The following is a 16,908-nucleotide window of genomic DNA, read 5'->3' as shown; positions in this document are numbered from 1 at the left end:
AATCCCAGCACTTTGGGAGGCTGAGGAGGGTGGATCACCTGAGGTCAGGAGTTCAAGACCAGCCTGGCCAACATGGCAAAACACCATCTCTACTAAAAATACAAAAATTTAGCCAGGTACAGTGGCTCACGCCTGTAATCCCAGCACTCTGGGAGGCCAAGGCAGGTGGATCACAAGGTCAGGAGATCAAGACCATCCTGGCCAACACGGTGAAACCCCGTCTCTACTAAAAATACAAAAAAAAAAAAAAAAAAAGAAGAAGAAGAAATTGCATTTTAAAAGAATGTCAGTATAAGCTTTTAATTTATAATCATCCACGATGAAGAATCAGAAACAGTAGGACTTACAGTCTGGCGAGGGTCAGCCACATGTAGAACTGGAAGGACTCTTTCTCTCTACATTGACATGAAAGCTAGCAACAGTCTGGCACCCTCTAAGAGTACTGGCTTTGAAAGAATTGGAATGTGACACTTTAGTATGGATGCTGGGCTTTCCATGATGGATCTCAGGCACTTCTAACAGTAAAGATACCTCCAGTCATTTCAAGAGCAGAGGACATCAGCAAAAGGAAAACAGAGAGGGAGAGAGAGAGAATATGGCAGATTCCACTCATCAACTGGAACTAGTAGACTGGTTGCCTTCCCTTCGGGGGCTTCAGAAATATTTGAGTTATTCATGTAACATAAACTTTACCTTTAAACTGTATAATTCAGTAGCTTTCAGTATGGTTACAGAGTTGTACAACTGTGACCACTATCTAATTTTGAAACGTTTTCATTACCCCAAAAAGAAACCCTAAACCCATTAGCAGTTAACCCAATTTTCCACCACCCACCTGGTAACCACTCATCTACTTTCAGTCTTGACACTCTTATCAAAGTGCTTCATTTTTTAAAGAAATCGGTATGAAGTAATCTTTGGTTTTCTTCTTTGCTCTTCTTTCTCATGTATTTTTCATTTTTGTTAGCATTTTAAATCTCTACTTTGCCCTGAATTTCTCCTTGCCTGTCCTTCTTAGCTGACACTCCTGCTCCCACACTTTCTAACATGCGTCAATGTGTCTTAATTCTTTTGACTCCAAGGCTCAGAGGCAATGGCCATTTTATCATCAAAACATGAGTGAGAAAAACTAGTGTATGCTTAAGTCTGGGATTGCTAGGGCAACTATAGGTAGACTGAGAGTGTCCCTCAGGTTCTTTGAGGAAGCCATTGGAATAGTGTTATGCCAACTTTCACCCCAGACTCCAGCTGGTACTGTTCTAATTCTCAGCATTTACACAATGCCTGGCATATAGCATGCCCCAGTAAATCATTGTTGAGTAAAAGGAATAAACATCTTCCTCTGTGATGTCTACTGGTTTGCCCCTTCCGTAGAACCATCCGGCTGGAGCACTATTTATTTTCCTTCAAAAATTGTCTATTAAATGCCATCCTGGTGCTTAAAAGACTGTAATAAAATATAAAGAAATATACATATGTCAACATGGAGTATTTTTCCTAGATTGCTGAATCCAGCAAATTCAAAGCCCCTAGAAAATAATAGCCTGTACTTTTTTCTCCATAGAACATGAAAATATAAATACATTCATTTACAATGCACATTAGTTTTTCATTAGTGTTTTTTCTAGATGACTCCTCAGCCAGTGCTATTCAGGGCATGCAGAGGATTTTCCAGTCTTTGTGATATTCTTTAACATGTAGATGGGAAGGGAAGGAAAAGAGGTACGAGGCAGTGAGCTACAAGTCTCCACACAAACCTTTCTTTCAGTTCAAGTAAGAAAAGGGAGATAAAAAGCCAAATGTAGGCATACTGTACCCAGCAGGAGCCAAGAGCTACCTTTAAGATTGGCAGTTCCAAAAGGCATCAACAGGAATCCTTTTGGTAATTACCAGTTCGGAAATGTCATCCCATTGATTGTGACAGACATAAACCAGCTGTGCTTTGTTGAGGGAGAACAGAGGCCCAGCCTGAGCAGAAACAAACAGCGGGCCAGCTGCAGCCTGCACTCCGACTTCCTCCCCACAGAACTCTCCCACTTAATACTTGCCAAACTCTGAAGCAATTAATCACACAGCAGAAGTAGATCTGAAATGTCTGAAATTGCCTGTTGAAGATTAACTGAATCTATCATATTTCCAGCCTCACTGGGAGGGAGGGAAGAGCGTCTTTTCATTGGAAAAGGATTCTCAGTCAAATGAATTGCTAAGATCTCAGGCTGGACCTTCCAATTCCGACTGGAATTTAGAGAATCTTTTGGCCAGAAATCCTTATTCTTAAGTACAAGACAGGGAAAGGACATAGATATTTGCGTTTATGAATTCCTGGGGCAGAACTGAAGGCACAGCTTCAAGCCAACACACATGTCCCTACAGCCTAAATAGCTATTTGAAGAGCAATTTTTAATTTATTCTGCCTATTGTTTATAAGAAACAGCTCCTCTCCTCCAATACCCACCCCCTCTTCCTAGGTGGAGAATTGCTGTATATGTCAGGGGTGATGGGGGCTCCCGTCACATGTGCCACCCACCTCACCTTCAGGGGAATGTGGGCCTCTCAGCTGGAGCTGTAGTGCAGCTCTCAGCATCCAAAATAGCTACTGCATGGAAGTCGCACTGCTTCAGGCTCAGGAAAAATCAGCTGCTGCCATGTAGCTGCCTGGTGCAACTCACCCCCATACACCTGAGGCAAAGGCTTCTAGTGACTCCAGCCCTGGTGTATGGGCAAAGGGTGAGGGGTGGGCATCTGCCCTCAGGGCATCACTGATGTCCCAACCCTGAGTGGTGTGTCTTGGGCTAACCCAGGGCATCTTTATATCTTTATATCCTTATCTCATCACTGTCATTAGATACCCACACTAGGCCTCCAGGGAAGGCTGGGAGATTGCCATTTCTTACAGGGAAATGATCATGTCTTCTTTATACCCAACCAGAGTGTCTAGTTTAACTCTCTGCCTGTTCATTCCTTTAAAAGTGTCATCATCGTGGGATCTAGAGACAAATTTACTTCTTCCTGTTTTAAACTATTCATTTACATAACATTGATTCCTGCCAAAAATGCTATTGTTTTTATTTTTAAAAGCTTTGTTTACATAAATATCTTCTTAGTGACATGACTTCTAAACAACATCTGTGGCATGTATTAACTATCTTTTAAATAGAATGAATGGCCTATCGGTTCTTACATAGGATGAAAGCCCCAAATATGCTAGAAAGTAAAAAAGCTACCACAGAATGTTTTGTATGAGTTTGTTTTCTGAAAAATAGTCATATATATATAATATAAATATAAAATAATTTAGAAGACTGCACACTGAATTTTGACAGCAGCTATCTTTAGGAGGAAAGAATATTGGGAACTTTTGATCCCTACATTTTGTATTTCTGTCATGTGTAATGTTTTTATGTCAGTTCTTAGTAGTTGGAAAAAATAAAAAAGTAATTATGAGTCAACGCCAATCATTAGTTGTGATTTGAAAACAGAGAAAGCCTTAGCCCCACTGGGTCTTCCACTCAAAATGTGGTCCCTAGAACACGAATAGCAGTATGACCTGGGTTCTTCTTAGAAATGCAGAATCTTAAGCTCTATCCTGTGTCTATATTCATGTTCACATTAAGGTGGGAAAAGCACTGACTACCCACATTAACTATTGCCTTCTTCTCCAGGCATATGTAATTCCTTGTTATAATTAAAAAAAAAATAAGGCTGGGTAAAGTGGCTTACACCTGTAATCCATGCAGTTTAGGAGGCCAAGGCAGGAGGATTGCTTGAGCCCAGGAGTTTAAGACCAGCCTGGGCAACATAGTGAGACTCCATCTCTATTAGTCCACTTTTGGACTACTATAAAAGAATACCTGAGACTGGGTAATTTATAAAGAATACAGGTTTGATTGGCTCACGGTTCTACAGGCTATACAAGCATGGCACCAACATCTGCTCACCTCCTGGTGAAGCCTCAGGAAGCTTACCATCATAGCAGAAGGCAAAGCAGGAGCAAGCACATCACATGGCAAAAGCAAAAGCAAGAGAGAGAAAGGGAAGGCCCCAGACTCTTAAACAACCAGATCTCATGTGAACTAACTGAGCAAGAACTTATCACCAAGAAGATGGAGATAAACCATTCATGACAGATCTGACCTCATGATCCAATCACCTCCCACCAGGCCCCACTCCAACACTGGGAATCAAATTTCAATATGAGATTTGGAGGGGATGAACATCCAAACCATATCACTGTCTCAAAAAAAAAAAAAAAGGTGGGTTTTTTTTGTTGTTGTTTTTAAGTTAGCTAAGAATGATGGCACATGCCTGTTACCTGTAGTCCCAGCTACTCAGGAGGCTGAGGTGAGAGGATCACCTGGGCCCAGGAGGTTAAGGCTGCAGTGAGCCAGGACTGTGTCACTGCACTCCAGCCTGGACAACAAAGATCTTGTCTCACTAACATTTAACAAAATTATCTACGGTTACTTTATTTTAGAACTTGAACTAAGGCATAAAAAGATTTTTGTAAGAGTATATTTTTAGCCATTTGATGGCAATGAACTAAGCTCCCACTGAGTACCTGTCTTCACTGGAGAAAGTCAAGATGGAGTCCATGCCTCCAGGTGCATATAGTCAAGTAAAAGAGAGAGACAAATAAGTGGTTGAATGGGAAAATATGTAAAACTGGTATAAATACGGGCAAAAAGTGTTAAGGAGCCACAACTAATCAAATTTTGTTATTTGTATTATTTGGTGAAATGAAGAATGTTCAATAATGTCTTTGCATACCTTACTGATTTTTTTAATCACTCAGAAGTAGAGGAAGGATATTGGAGCAACAAACTCTAGACTTAATTATGTCCACTAGGGAAAAACACGTTGGAGCTATAAAAACAAAAAGGAAATGTGGGGTGGGAAAGTAGCAATATTGTCTTGATCTTATGATATTAAAAACAAAACAAGTAAACACAGAAGAGCACTGAGTACATCCAGTTGTTAGACAAGCCCCATTGATCTGAGAGTCTAAAATGAATACAGTTCAATTGGAGTGGGACATTTTGGAAATGAATCATTTGGTCTATACATCTGCCCAGAGTCCACATTGGAAAAGAACAGAAAGGGGGAAACTTTTGCAAAAAAAAAGTAAAATAAAAATATGTGTGCCTCTGTACCTAAAAGGGAGCTCTCTGGTGATCTAAAGTTTTAAAGGTCATTTACAAATAATGAAAGAATGGGCATTTGATCAAGGAGATTTTTGACACTCCCCTTTAGAATACTTATATTTGACTTTTGGCCTATGTGAAAATGGAAATAATATTTGCAATTTTGTTCTAAACCCAATTCAAAGAAGCTTAGACTGGTGAGCTGAAAATGTAAAACTCTTTGGGAGAAATCTATCTGTGTGCTCCCTTGGGAATTGGAGACTTGCATACCGACAATAAGAGAAAATGACACACTATGCTAGTCATTTTCTGAAGAAGGAAAATAAAAGGCTAGATTTTAAAAAAGGTGCTTTGAAGTATCATTACATGCATGACTTTGGTGGACAGCCCTGGAAGCTAGGGAAAAAGAGGATGCACTGACCATTTAAGAATCAGGGGCCAGTCGCGCCTACAATCCTAGATTCTGCCCACACATCTGGAACATTTCAATAAAAGACTTGGAGATAAGATTGACAGCTTCATGTCAGACACAATTAGAGGAATGAGGGTTTCAGTCCCTGATATGTAAGATGAAAGTAAAGTCAGACAAAAGCAGAAATAATAGCAACTCTTTAGATAAAAGTGAATAGGAGAGAGATATTTGTGAAATAAGTAAGAGAGAGTCACCAAAATCATTCTTTCAACTCAGCAATGTTTTGACAATGCTTGCTGACATTCCAGCACTTGAGTCTGAAGATGTATCTTAGCAGAATCTTCCACACAGTGTTCTAGTCATTTCTTATTAATACTCGTCATTTCTAACAAGCATTATCATAGTTTATTAACTGATCTTTACAATACAGTGTACCTAAATGAAAATATATGAAGATTGCATTTTAAATATGGCTCTAACACATAGCTTTTTTTCCCCCACAAAAAAAATAAGAACTTCTGATTCAACAGATAAAAAGATGCCACATCATTAGAATTATTTAATGATGGTCTCTTTCACTTGAATTTAACTTTCAACTTAAAGCCTTCAATGTTTTAAATCAGTGCTATCTGACTAAAACAATAGAATGGAATGCATTTGTTCATATTTTACCTCTTTCAAGTAAAGAAAATTTGAGGTGACTTACAGCAGAAGACGTACATGGTAAAAATCTAGTAGATATTCATTAGAATATTTAGAAACTTACAGAAAAATTAGAGCCCAGGACAAAGATATGCCTTACAGTTTGCAAGATTGTTGTGAATGAGTTGCAAGCATTGCCCCACTCTTCCTGGTAAAATATCATTGTTTTCATTATCGTGAAAAAACTTTGAACCTCTACCTATGAAATGATGTATAAAAAAGTGCATGTTGTTTGTGTCTTTCTTTTGTTAATATCATGGAAAAGGCAGAGTCAACATTAACCTCTGTCCTCAAAATCCTACAGCTGTTTATACCATTCCAAGTGTGTTCTGTGGACCAGCAGCATTGACATCACCTGGGAGCTTGCTAGAAATCCAGACTCTCATGCACCATTCCAGACCTGCTGAATCAGAGGCTGCATTTTATCAAGATCCTCACATGCTCTCCTGCATATCAAAGACTGAGAAGAACAAATCTGTAACACTAACCTTCCAGCAAAATTATCATTACCTCAGAGCAGAAACTAGCTTATTCCCTTCTTTTTTTCCATGACAAGTACAGTAGAGAAAATATTATACAGGTTGAAAAAAAGCTAAATAAAATTATTTTAAATGAATGAACAGTTATAAAACAAAAAAATAGACCAAGAGGATCAAAATTCAGGATCAAAATCAGTTCATTACAATTCAAAATTAGACTATGAGTTATACATTTTAATAATGTCATTTTAAATATTAATAATGACTAACATTTATCACTTATGTGTGACAGATACTAATAAGCACTTTTTATCATCTTCCTCACAACTTTATGAGGTAGTATTACCCCATTTTATTAGTGAGGAAATTGAGATTTGAGATTAAGCAAATTCTCCAAGTCCACTGTTTGAAAGTGGTAGAACTACAAGCTAAATACAGGCTATCTGATTACTTGGCGCTCTGAGTTTCTAAATGATGTAAAACTCTAAGACCACATGAACTTGGAAACCTTGCAATAGATCAGGTGATTGAACCTTACCAAAGTTTGGATCAAACAATTGAATCTGATCAAAGTTGATACCTGAGTAGTTCACATTTTTAAAGAACTGTAGCTTGCTTATATGTTTGTGACTGTAAAATCACAGGCCTGATTCTACAAATTTAAAAAGTATATTCTAGTATCAATGGAGATGAAAAATAGGAAATAAATTGAGTAAGAAATGGCAAGAATGCATATATATATACAAATAGATAATATCCATCCACATTTCAAAATATTTAATACATATTCATCCTTGTGGATGTTTCTAAGTATAAGCTTTCTGTTTCGCTTGACAGTAGCTGTCAAGTGTAATTAATCCTCTCTATAGCTAGAGAAACTGAGGTTCCAGTCAGTCAATGTGAATCAGGGTCCTCTTCAGGTGACGTGTGGACTCATTGTCAAGATATTCGTGTTTATCATCACTCTCTACATTTGGTTTCTCCTGTTGGTGGAAAATGTAAAAGAAGACAGCAGGTGTGTGTATCTAATTACATGAGTATGGACCATGTGTATAATGAATGCTATCACACACAGGTAGAAAGATACATGAAAGGTGGGGTCAGTGATCCATAAGGGAGAAGAGGGTACATTCCTCTGTAAGGGCGGGGACTTTGTTTTGTTCTTCATGATATCCCCAGTGCAATGCCTGGTATTTAGAAGGTATTTGATTCCTTTGATTGGGTGAATATCCATGGGGAGTTTCACCACTGGATACTCAAAAATTATCCATTGAAACTTTGTAATCAGACATATCTGGACTTGAGTATCAGTCTTACTAGTTCTATGATTTTAAGTAAGTTGTTTAATCTTTAACACCTCAATTTCCTCATATATAAAATGGACATAATGACGCTAATCACATTAAGGTAAGAGGATCAAGTGAAACACTGTGTAAATTGCTTAGCATGGCTTATGGCACTTTGCATGCCCAATAAATGTAGCTGGAGATACCAGGTCTCCAATGGGGTTACATTGAGTCTCAGTTTTTACCATGGGATCCTAGCCTAGCTTATGATTTTTCAGATGTATAGACCAGAAAGAACCATGAACTGACAGCCCTTCAGTGGTAGAACCATGACCATGAGCAGGCCCTTGACTGTGTCTAGCCCTCCTCATTCACAGTTCACAGAAGAAAGTCTTTCTTTAAAATCAGATGGGCTGGGCACGGTGGCTCATGCCTGTAATCCCAGAACTTTGGGAGGCCGAGGCAGGCAGATCACTTGAGGTCAGGAGTTCAAGACCAGCCTGGCCAACATGGCAAAACCTCATCTCTACTGAAAACACAAAAATTAGCCAAGCGTGGTGGCAGGTGCCTGTAGCCCCAGCTACTCAGGAGGCTGAGGCAGGAGAATTGCTTGAACCTGGGAGGCGGAGGCTGCAGTGAGCCAAGATCGCACCACTCCAGCCTGGGCAACAGTGTAAGACTCTGTCTCAAAAAACAAAATCAGATGTAGCGTTCTTCTCTGGATGTCTTTCACCATCAGAAAGCATCTCTTCGAGCCTCTTTCACACTCCCAACAGCTGAGTGGATTCCCACCTAAACAACAAAGACCACCCTGCAGAGGAGTTGTGACCACAAAAGTCAAAGTTGCCCTCTTCATTTGTGAAGAGGAAATATTTCACTTCCCCTGCTTATTTAGGCCACTCATTCTTGGGTACCGTGGAAATAATTCAGATCAACTACCCCTGTATTTAGATTTCCTTGATATTTAGAGGTTTTGAGTTCTGAGCTGTTTATATTCCTTTACCCAGGCCCTAAGGGGATATATCTGATAGAGAAATTACCTGGGAACTTGAACCTACTGTTGCATACTTTTATGGATGCTGAAAACAAGAGGAGGTAGATCCAACGCATGACAAAGGAAGAATTAAGCCCTTAAGATGCCATAATTTCTGAGGTTATTCTGAGTGTGACAATTACGATGTTGCCAAGAGGCAGTGTGATGGTTAGTTAGAAAGCTATGAGCTGTGAGACAAATTTGCCTTATGGTCTGTTTTTATATGACCTGCAAGCTGAAACTAAATTTTATATTTGTTAAGGGTTATAAAAGAAGAAGGAGGAGAAGCAGCAGCAGCAGAGATCATATGCGGTATACAAATAAAACATTAAATATCTGGCCCTTTACAAAAATAGTTTGCCAAGCCCTGGTTAGACTTCAGAGCTACACTGCCTGAGATCAAGTCACACTAGGACATCTTATGGTAAAAACTCTACAATTCAGCTTCTTCAACTTCTAAATGAGAAAATAGTATTTACCTGTTTCTGGCACAAAACAAACCCCAATTAAATATTTTCTTCCATTACCTATGTTGAGGCAAACAAAGCAAGATAAGTGAATTTAGCTCAACTGTGGTTTTCTTTTTCCTCTTCTAATTCTGATTTATCATTATATTTCCAGCACTTGGCACATAGTAGATGTACAGTAAGTAGTTAATGAGTATTTTATGAGTTAATGGGTATTAGAGTCTTTGATTTTTTAATGTATTTTATGTTCCAAATTAAAAATATACCTGTTGGCCAGACAAATAAATGAAAGTTTTTAAAAATAAAGTTTTTCACATGTAACTGATCTTCCAAAAAGTAAATTACAGGAAAAAAAACAAAGAGAAATCCAGGAAGTAAACTATAGATTAAAAGAGAGTTAATAAGGGTTAATAAGATTAACACAATGTATAAATCTTAATTTTGAATTAAACATTTTTTAAAAGTTATTTATAAAATAATCAGAAATGTGAACACAGAATGGATATTTGATGATATATCAAGGAATTATTATTAATTTTTACATGATGTATTATGAATCATTATTATGTTAAAAATAGAATCCTAATCATTCAGAGATAAACATTGAAATATATATAACAGAAAACATATGACATCTGGAATTTGCTTTAAAATAATATGAATCATTATATAGTCTATGCATGTAACAAAATATCACATGTATCCCATAAATATGTACAAATATTATGTATCAATTAAAAAATTATAATTGAATCAATTATTAAATGGGGAAGAAAAGACAAATCCATGCAAAAGAATTTCAAATATCTTATGTAGATACCCCCTCAAGAAGAAACATACCTTAAGTGTGGACTGGTTATAGTGACTTCCTTAGAGGGTGGGGTAGATTTACTGTAGAAAAACCTAACAAACATTACTTCAGCCAGGTGATCAAGGCGAACGTCAGCAGTCATAAATCATGCTGATAGTGCGACGTGATGTGATGTGATGAAAATGGCACTTCACCTCTGTGAATAACCCATAACCTCAATCTTATGTCATGAGAAAAAAAATCAGACAAATTCTAATAGAGTATTCTAAAAATATCTGACTGGAACTCCTCAAAACTGTCAAGGTCTTCAAAAGCAAGAAAAACTGTCACAGCCAAAGACAACTAAATACAACATGATATTCCAGGTAGGACCCTGAAACAGAAAAAGGGCTTTAGGCAAAAAATAAGGAAATCTAAATAAATGATGGACTTTAGTTAATAATATTGTATTGATATTGGTTTATTATTTGTAACAAATGCATCATAATAATGTAAGATAGTAATAATAGGGGAAATTGGGTGTGATATATATAAGAACCCTCTGTACTGTCTTCTCAATTTTTCTGCAAATCTAAAACTATTATAAAAAAAATAATTTCTAAAATATGGGATGAGGGTTGGGGGGTGGGGAATTGATGCCTGAATAGATGAAACAAGATTTGTCCTAGAACTAACAATTGTGAAAGTTGTGATATGGGTACAGACAGATTCATTACACTGTTCATGACATAGTCTACTAAACATATTTAGTAGATTGTGCTGTCTATTAAATATGTTTGAAGTTTTCCACTGAAAATGTAAAAAAAAAAACTTTCAATCAGAAGAGAAGGTTAAGAAATAGTGTCCTGAAATGTGGTATACGTATATACACCATGGAATACTACTCAGCCATTAAAAAAAAGAATATGAAATATCTTTTGCATCAACTTGGATGGAGCTGGAGGCCATTATTCTAAGTAACTCAGGAACAGACAACTAAATACTGTGGTTCTCACTTACAAGCAGGAACTAAGTTATGGGTACACAAAGGCATACAGAGTAGTTTCATGGACATTGGAGACTCGGAAGTAGGGAGGGTGAGAAGGGGATGAGGGATGAAAAAAAATACCTATTTGGTACAATGTACACTATTCAGTGATGGGTACATTAAAATCCCAGACTTTACTAATTGTACAATTTATTCATGTAAACATAAAACCACTTGTCCCCCTAAAGCTGATGAAATAGAAAAATTAAAATGGAAAAAAGAGTGTCCCAAACTACATTTTTCCTGACAGTTATACATAAACATCTTACTGATGTATACTAAGTTTCAACTATTAAGAAACCATTAGAAATAAGAAGTTCGATTTTGACACTCTAATTCAATATAAAGCACCATTTGTTTACTAAACAGCTGTCTCATGTGATATTTATAACTACTGCATGCAAGAGACAGCTGTGATCTCTATTGAAATAGATTTGTGCTATATATAAATTTGTAGATGATATGCATCTCTTTATTTATGGAAGAGTCATGCAAATTAAATTATTCCATATTAATACAAAGTTCATCTACACTCTACCTCCAATATTACTGTTTCACATTACTTTATGAACTCCATCCATTAAGCATGGGATCAAGGCTGTGCTAATGAGTTGTGAGTGACTATAATTCAGTAACCACTACAGAATCCCCAAATCATATATTTCACATAATTTGTTACATAATGGATGTATATGTAACATTCTTATTAAAGTTGAGTAAATATGAGAATAATGGTACTTGATATGTTAAAAGTCTTTAAAAACAATCATTAAACAAGAAAAAAAATTTCTCTCAGATAATTCATCTTCTAAGATACTTTGCTCTCAAATAGCTCGTCAAACAATGTAACTAAATGCAATAAAATAATAATTAGTGTAAGAGTAACTTACAAAAAGGATAGAGGTAACCCATTTTGTTAATAGGGAAACTGTGGCAATGAGAGGCGAAATCCAAACTCACAGAACTGTTGACTGACAAAGCCAGATATATAAACACAAGCTTGAGTGAAGTTAAAGCTCATGGTTTTGCACTATAACAGATGCCTCTCTTGTGAAATATTCTATACAAAAATCCAAACTGAAAAGGCTCAATTGCTCCATTACCCTAGCATCGGCCCCATCTCTTCTCCTATAAGCCAGGTCAACAAGGGTTCTGACCATTAGGCCATCAAATGTAGTAGACATGTATGTAGCCTGGGTGTTGTTCTTGTTTTCCCTCAATTTCCTTGTCAACTCATTTTTCTATATATTTCTCAACATATTATAATCATTTTTATCACTATATTCTTTGATCCCCAACAACTATTTTCACCTGTTTAACTACAACCATTGGTAAGTTGTGGATGTTTATGGAGTTAGTGAGTTCCTTCTTGTAATGCAAGGGATTTTTGCTATCATTTATTAAATACATTAGACTGATGATGTGCAAAATAAACATTTGCAATCAAGGTTGACTGTATTTAAGAAATTGCCTATAATAAGAGTTATATAGGAGTTGCAAAATCTGTACTTTCTTAATGCTTAGTAGAGTCTGCATAATAGAATGGCCTGCTCTAAGATTCCCTCAGTCATTCCAAACCTCACCTCTTTCATTCATACATTCAGTCATGTAGATGAGACATAACCCCAGAAAAGTTAAAGAAAACATTGGTTGTGAATAACATCTTCAGCCAACTATGTACTTTGTCTACACCACTTTTCTGAAGGGGTAATATTTCACACTTGCTCAACGAAGGGTTTGTTGGAAAAATGAATGAGATAATCCCTGTAAATCCTAGAAGCTTTCTGAACTAAGGTTACCATATACAGATTTTACCCAGGTAACACTTTAACAAGCTGGGTCACTAAGAAAGCGCTTCCTTTTGCCCTGAAATCATTAGTTGGTGCTTCTATATGTAAAAGCCAGTATTTTGTCAGGGGCCTCAATAACATGTAGGGTTCTCAGGAACACTGAATTCTAATGCTGTGGTTAATCCTCAGCAATTTTTTGAAAGTGTGTGTTTTAGCTTCACCTACAAAAGACCTAACAGAGATTTCCTACAGAACAAACATCAGCAGAGAGGATAATTGTAGTGCCCTTTACAAAAACAACTGTTATGACTATTTAGCCAGAGCCAGCAATGTTGGACTTGTCCCCACTTGCTGAGAAACTCAGGAGTTGTTCTACTGAGCTACCCTTACTCACACAGTAGACAAGCCTCCCAGCCTGGCTCATGATGGGTCTTGTCGTAATTCAGCTGGAGCCACTGGTAAATATCCACCTGTCTATTACTCATTAATAGAGAGAGACAGGATGTCAGCTGTTTCCGTGACTTGGAGAAACATAGGCTTTTACCACCTTCTGGCTTACTCTCAAAGTATATTAGAAACAATAAGGCAGACAAAGATAAAAAAGAGCAGGAAGATGCAATGTCAAAAATAAAAATAAATCATCATTGGCTGAAGGATACAAAGATTACAGCCTTTAACTTGCTTTGCAGGTTTTCATAATTCAACTTTGGCAGTTTAGTCATCTTAGAAGATAGGGAAAAATAGACTCCAAACTGATTTACATATAGAAAAATTTATTCTGCTAATGCTAATAGATATTATAACATTTGTTTATTAACCCCATCACTAATATTTAGATCATATAACTTGTGCTTACCTGTTTGAACAGTAAATAACTTACATGTCACAATATGCTTAATTATGATAAAATAAGGCAGACAAAATTGCTTCCTGTGTTCAATTTTAATCCCAGAAATTGTTTTCTGTGTCAGTTACAAAACTAGTGGTCTTAAACAAACTCTAAAATTCAGTGGTTCAACACAATAGTTTATTTCTCACTCATCTAATAGTTCAGGGCAGGTGTTCCAGGAGAACAGAGAGCTTCCTGTTACATGAGCCGTCAAGACTCAGGCCTCATCCATTCTGCGGCTCTGCTACCCTTTAGAACTGTGTCATCTTCTGCCTTCAGCAGGAGGAGGACATAGGGAGCATGAAGAAGACACAGCACTGATCACATTGTCCAGGAAGTAACACACATCACACATGGGACCTACCTAGAGGCAAGAGGACTCAGACATGAAGTCTTGGATGGGCAGCCACTGCCCTTGCCCTCTACACCTTGGAAAAGGAGATATATACTCCAAAGGACAGTGAGCCACCTCTTCCACAAGCACTAATCTATAGAGATGAGGCACATGAAGAAAATTATTCCCAAATGCCTCCCCGTTCATTGGATAATGCCTGAAATTTTACAAAGTTTCATTAATTTAAGACTGACCATCTGTTATAAGGCAAACATTCTTCCAACTGTTTATTTACATTGTGAATGACTTTCTGCTCCTATAGAAGAAATTTATAGCATTAAAGGGGCTTTAAAAGAAGAAATCCTGAGACTATGGAGATGAGAGAAGAGTGGCAAGAGAGCTTTGGAATCCCTCTCTCTGAGGTCACCTCAAACCTATAGGCAGAGCCCTGAGACCCCCTATGGATGCTCTCCTCCCCAACTAAACTAAGAGACACTTTCTGTCTCTAGCAGTAGAAAACTCAACAACTCTAGAAACTCATGGTTAGTCACATCTACAGCCAGTCAGGCTCTAGTCCTGTAACCAGGACTAGTACTTGGCCTTTTTTCAGCAGCTGTGACAAAGCCCATGCCTTGAAACTTTTCCTATGACTGGATCCTTACCTCCATATCTGAATAATTACTTAACTTTGCATGGGAATTCTACATATATCAGTCTCATACAAGCTTTGCAATAATTAGTAAGTGAGGTAGGTATTATTATTCTCTTACAAAGATAAAGAATCACAGGGAAGTTAAGAACACACTCAAGTTAATGCAGCTATTACATGGCAAAGCCGAGACCTGAAGTCAGACCTCACGGTCCCCAGCCAATATTCCTTCTACAATGAAATACTGTCCTACTGGATACACCTCTCTCTCTCTCTCTCTCTCAGCCTGAGGCTTGAGGCCCTGCTTGTTGACACAGCCCTCTAGCCTTCCATGTCTAGAGTTCTATTCCTTTAATGTCTTTATTGCACAGATAATTATGGATCAATACTAGGAGCCAAGCACTTGGTTTGTGACAAAACAAACATGCTGCTTCCCATTCGGGGGTTAGCCTACTCACCAAAAAATAAATGTATAATTTCACATAATCATAAGCGCTACAAAAGAAAAGTGGTGCAATAGAAGCAAGCAGGTGGCGGGAGGGCACATAGGGACAGGAAACCTATTTTGAGTGGGGCTGTCAGGAAAACCTCTCTGTGGTGTTGACATTTAAGCCAAGACCTGAAAAATGATGTCAGTGGTGAGAAGAAAGTGATGATATTGGTGGGGTAGGAGTCCCTAGATCAAGAAAGCTTTGACAGTACAAGAAAATGAGAAGGAGGCCAGTGTGCCTGAAGTATGGCAGGGAGGGGAGCAGAGATGCATTTGGAGTAGTGTGCCTGCCCAAACATAGAGGAGTTAGGATTTATCGGATTGACAACTGGGATCCACTGAAGAGTTTTAGCAGAAGAGTAATATGATCACATTTATTAAAAGATTATTCTGGTCTTTAACTCCTGACCTCATGATCCACCTGCCTTGGCCTCCTAAAGTGCTGAGATTACAGGCATGGAGAAACCCTGTCTCTACTAAAAATACAAAAATTAACTGGGCGTGACGGCATGCACCTGTAATCCCAGCTACTCAGGAGGCTGAGGCAGAAGAATCGCTCGAACCCAGGAGGCAGAAGTTGCAGTGAACCAAGATTGCACCACTGCACTCCAGCCTGGGTGACAGAGCTAGACTCTGTCTAAAAAAAAAAAAAAAAAAAAAAAAAAAGTGAAAAAAAAAAGATTATTCTGCAGGTGCTTTGGAGAATAGAGGGGAAGAAGGCATGGATGATGGCAGAGAGGCACAGCAGTGGCCCAGGGATGAGATGATGCCTTGGAATATGGTAGTGGTAGACAGAGGAGTTAAATATGTAGAGTTGAGATGCACTTGGGAGATAGAAGTGCTGATGGATGAGCTTTGAGGAGCAAGAGAAAGGAACACATTAAGTTTGGCTTCTCAGGTTTTTGCCTTTTGCAACAGGACCAAGCTCAGCTTCTGAACTGGGAAAGGATGAGACTTTGTCATTTTATAATGACCATATTTCTCAATGCTAAGATGCATTTTTTTCCTGCAATTTGGTGTTTCTGAAATCGATATGTCTTACAATCAATATCAAAGGAAAACTCCAGAGAAGCTGTGACAACATTGTCTTCCCTTACAAATATGTGAAGTTGGCCCAAGGTGGAAGACATCTATCCATTCATCAGATTGTCACCTAGGCTATTTGCACTGACTGCACAATACATGGTGCATCTTAATTTGCTTTACTTAACATGTTTGCATAGAGATTACACTACAAAGCAGCCTTGAAATGATAAGACATTGTATATGCAGAAGAACAAGAAATACATTAAGTAAATAAAGTTGGAGAACACAAATTTACCATAAATGAAGCACATATTTGCCCCTGAAAAACTTTTTTTTTTACCATAAAACAATGAGCTAGTGTTTTTCAGGCTC

The 16,908-nt window shown here is 37.8% G+C and overlaps 1 annotated feature.

The window, feature by feature from the left end:
- Positions 864-3,248: an enhancer, noted in NCBI's record as "VISTA enhancer hs1471". NCBI's record gives its function as "enhancer in: limb[5/6] | branchial arch[5/6] | other[5/6]" and the evidence as "EXISTENCE:transgenic organism evidence [ECO:0001131][PMID:17130149]".

This window comes from Homo sapiens, chromosome 13, assembly GCF_000001405.40.
Source record: "Homo sapiens chromosome 13, GRCh38.p14 Primary Assembly".
Classification (NCBI taxonomy): domain Eukaryota; kingdom Metazoa; phylum Chordata; class Mammalia; order Primates; family Hominidae; genus Homo; species Homo sapiens.
Note: the sequence above shows the minus strand (reverse complement) of the source record. Positions and strands in the feature narration are given on the sequence as shown.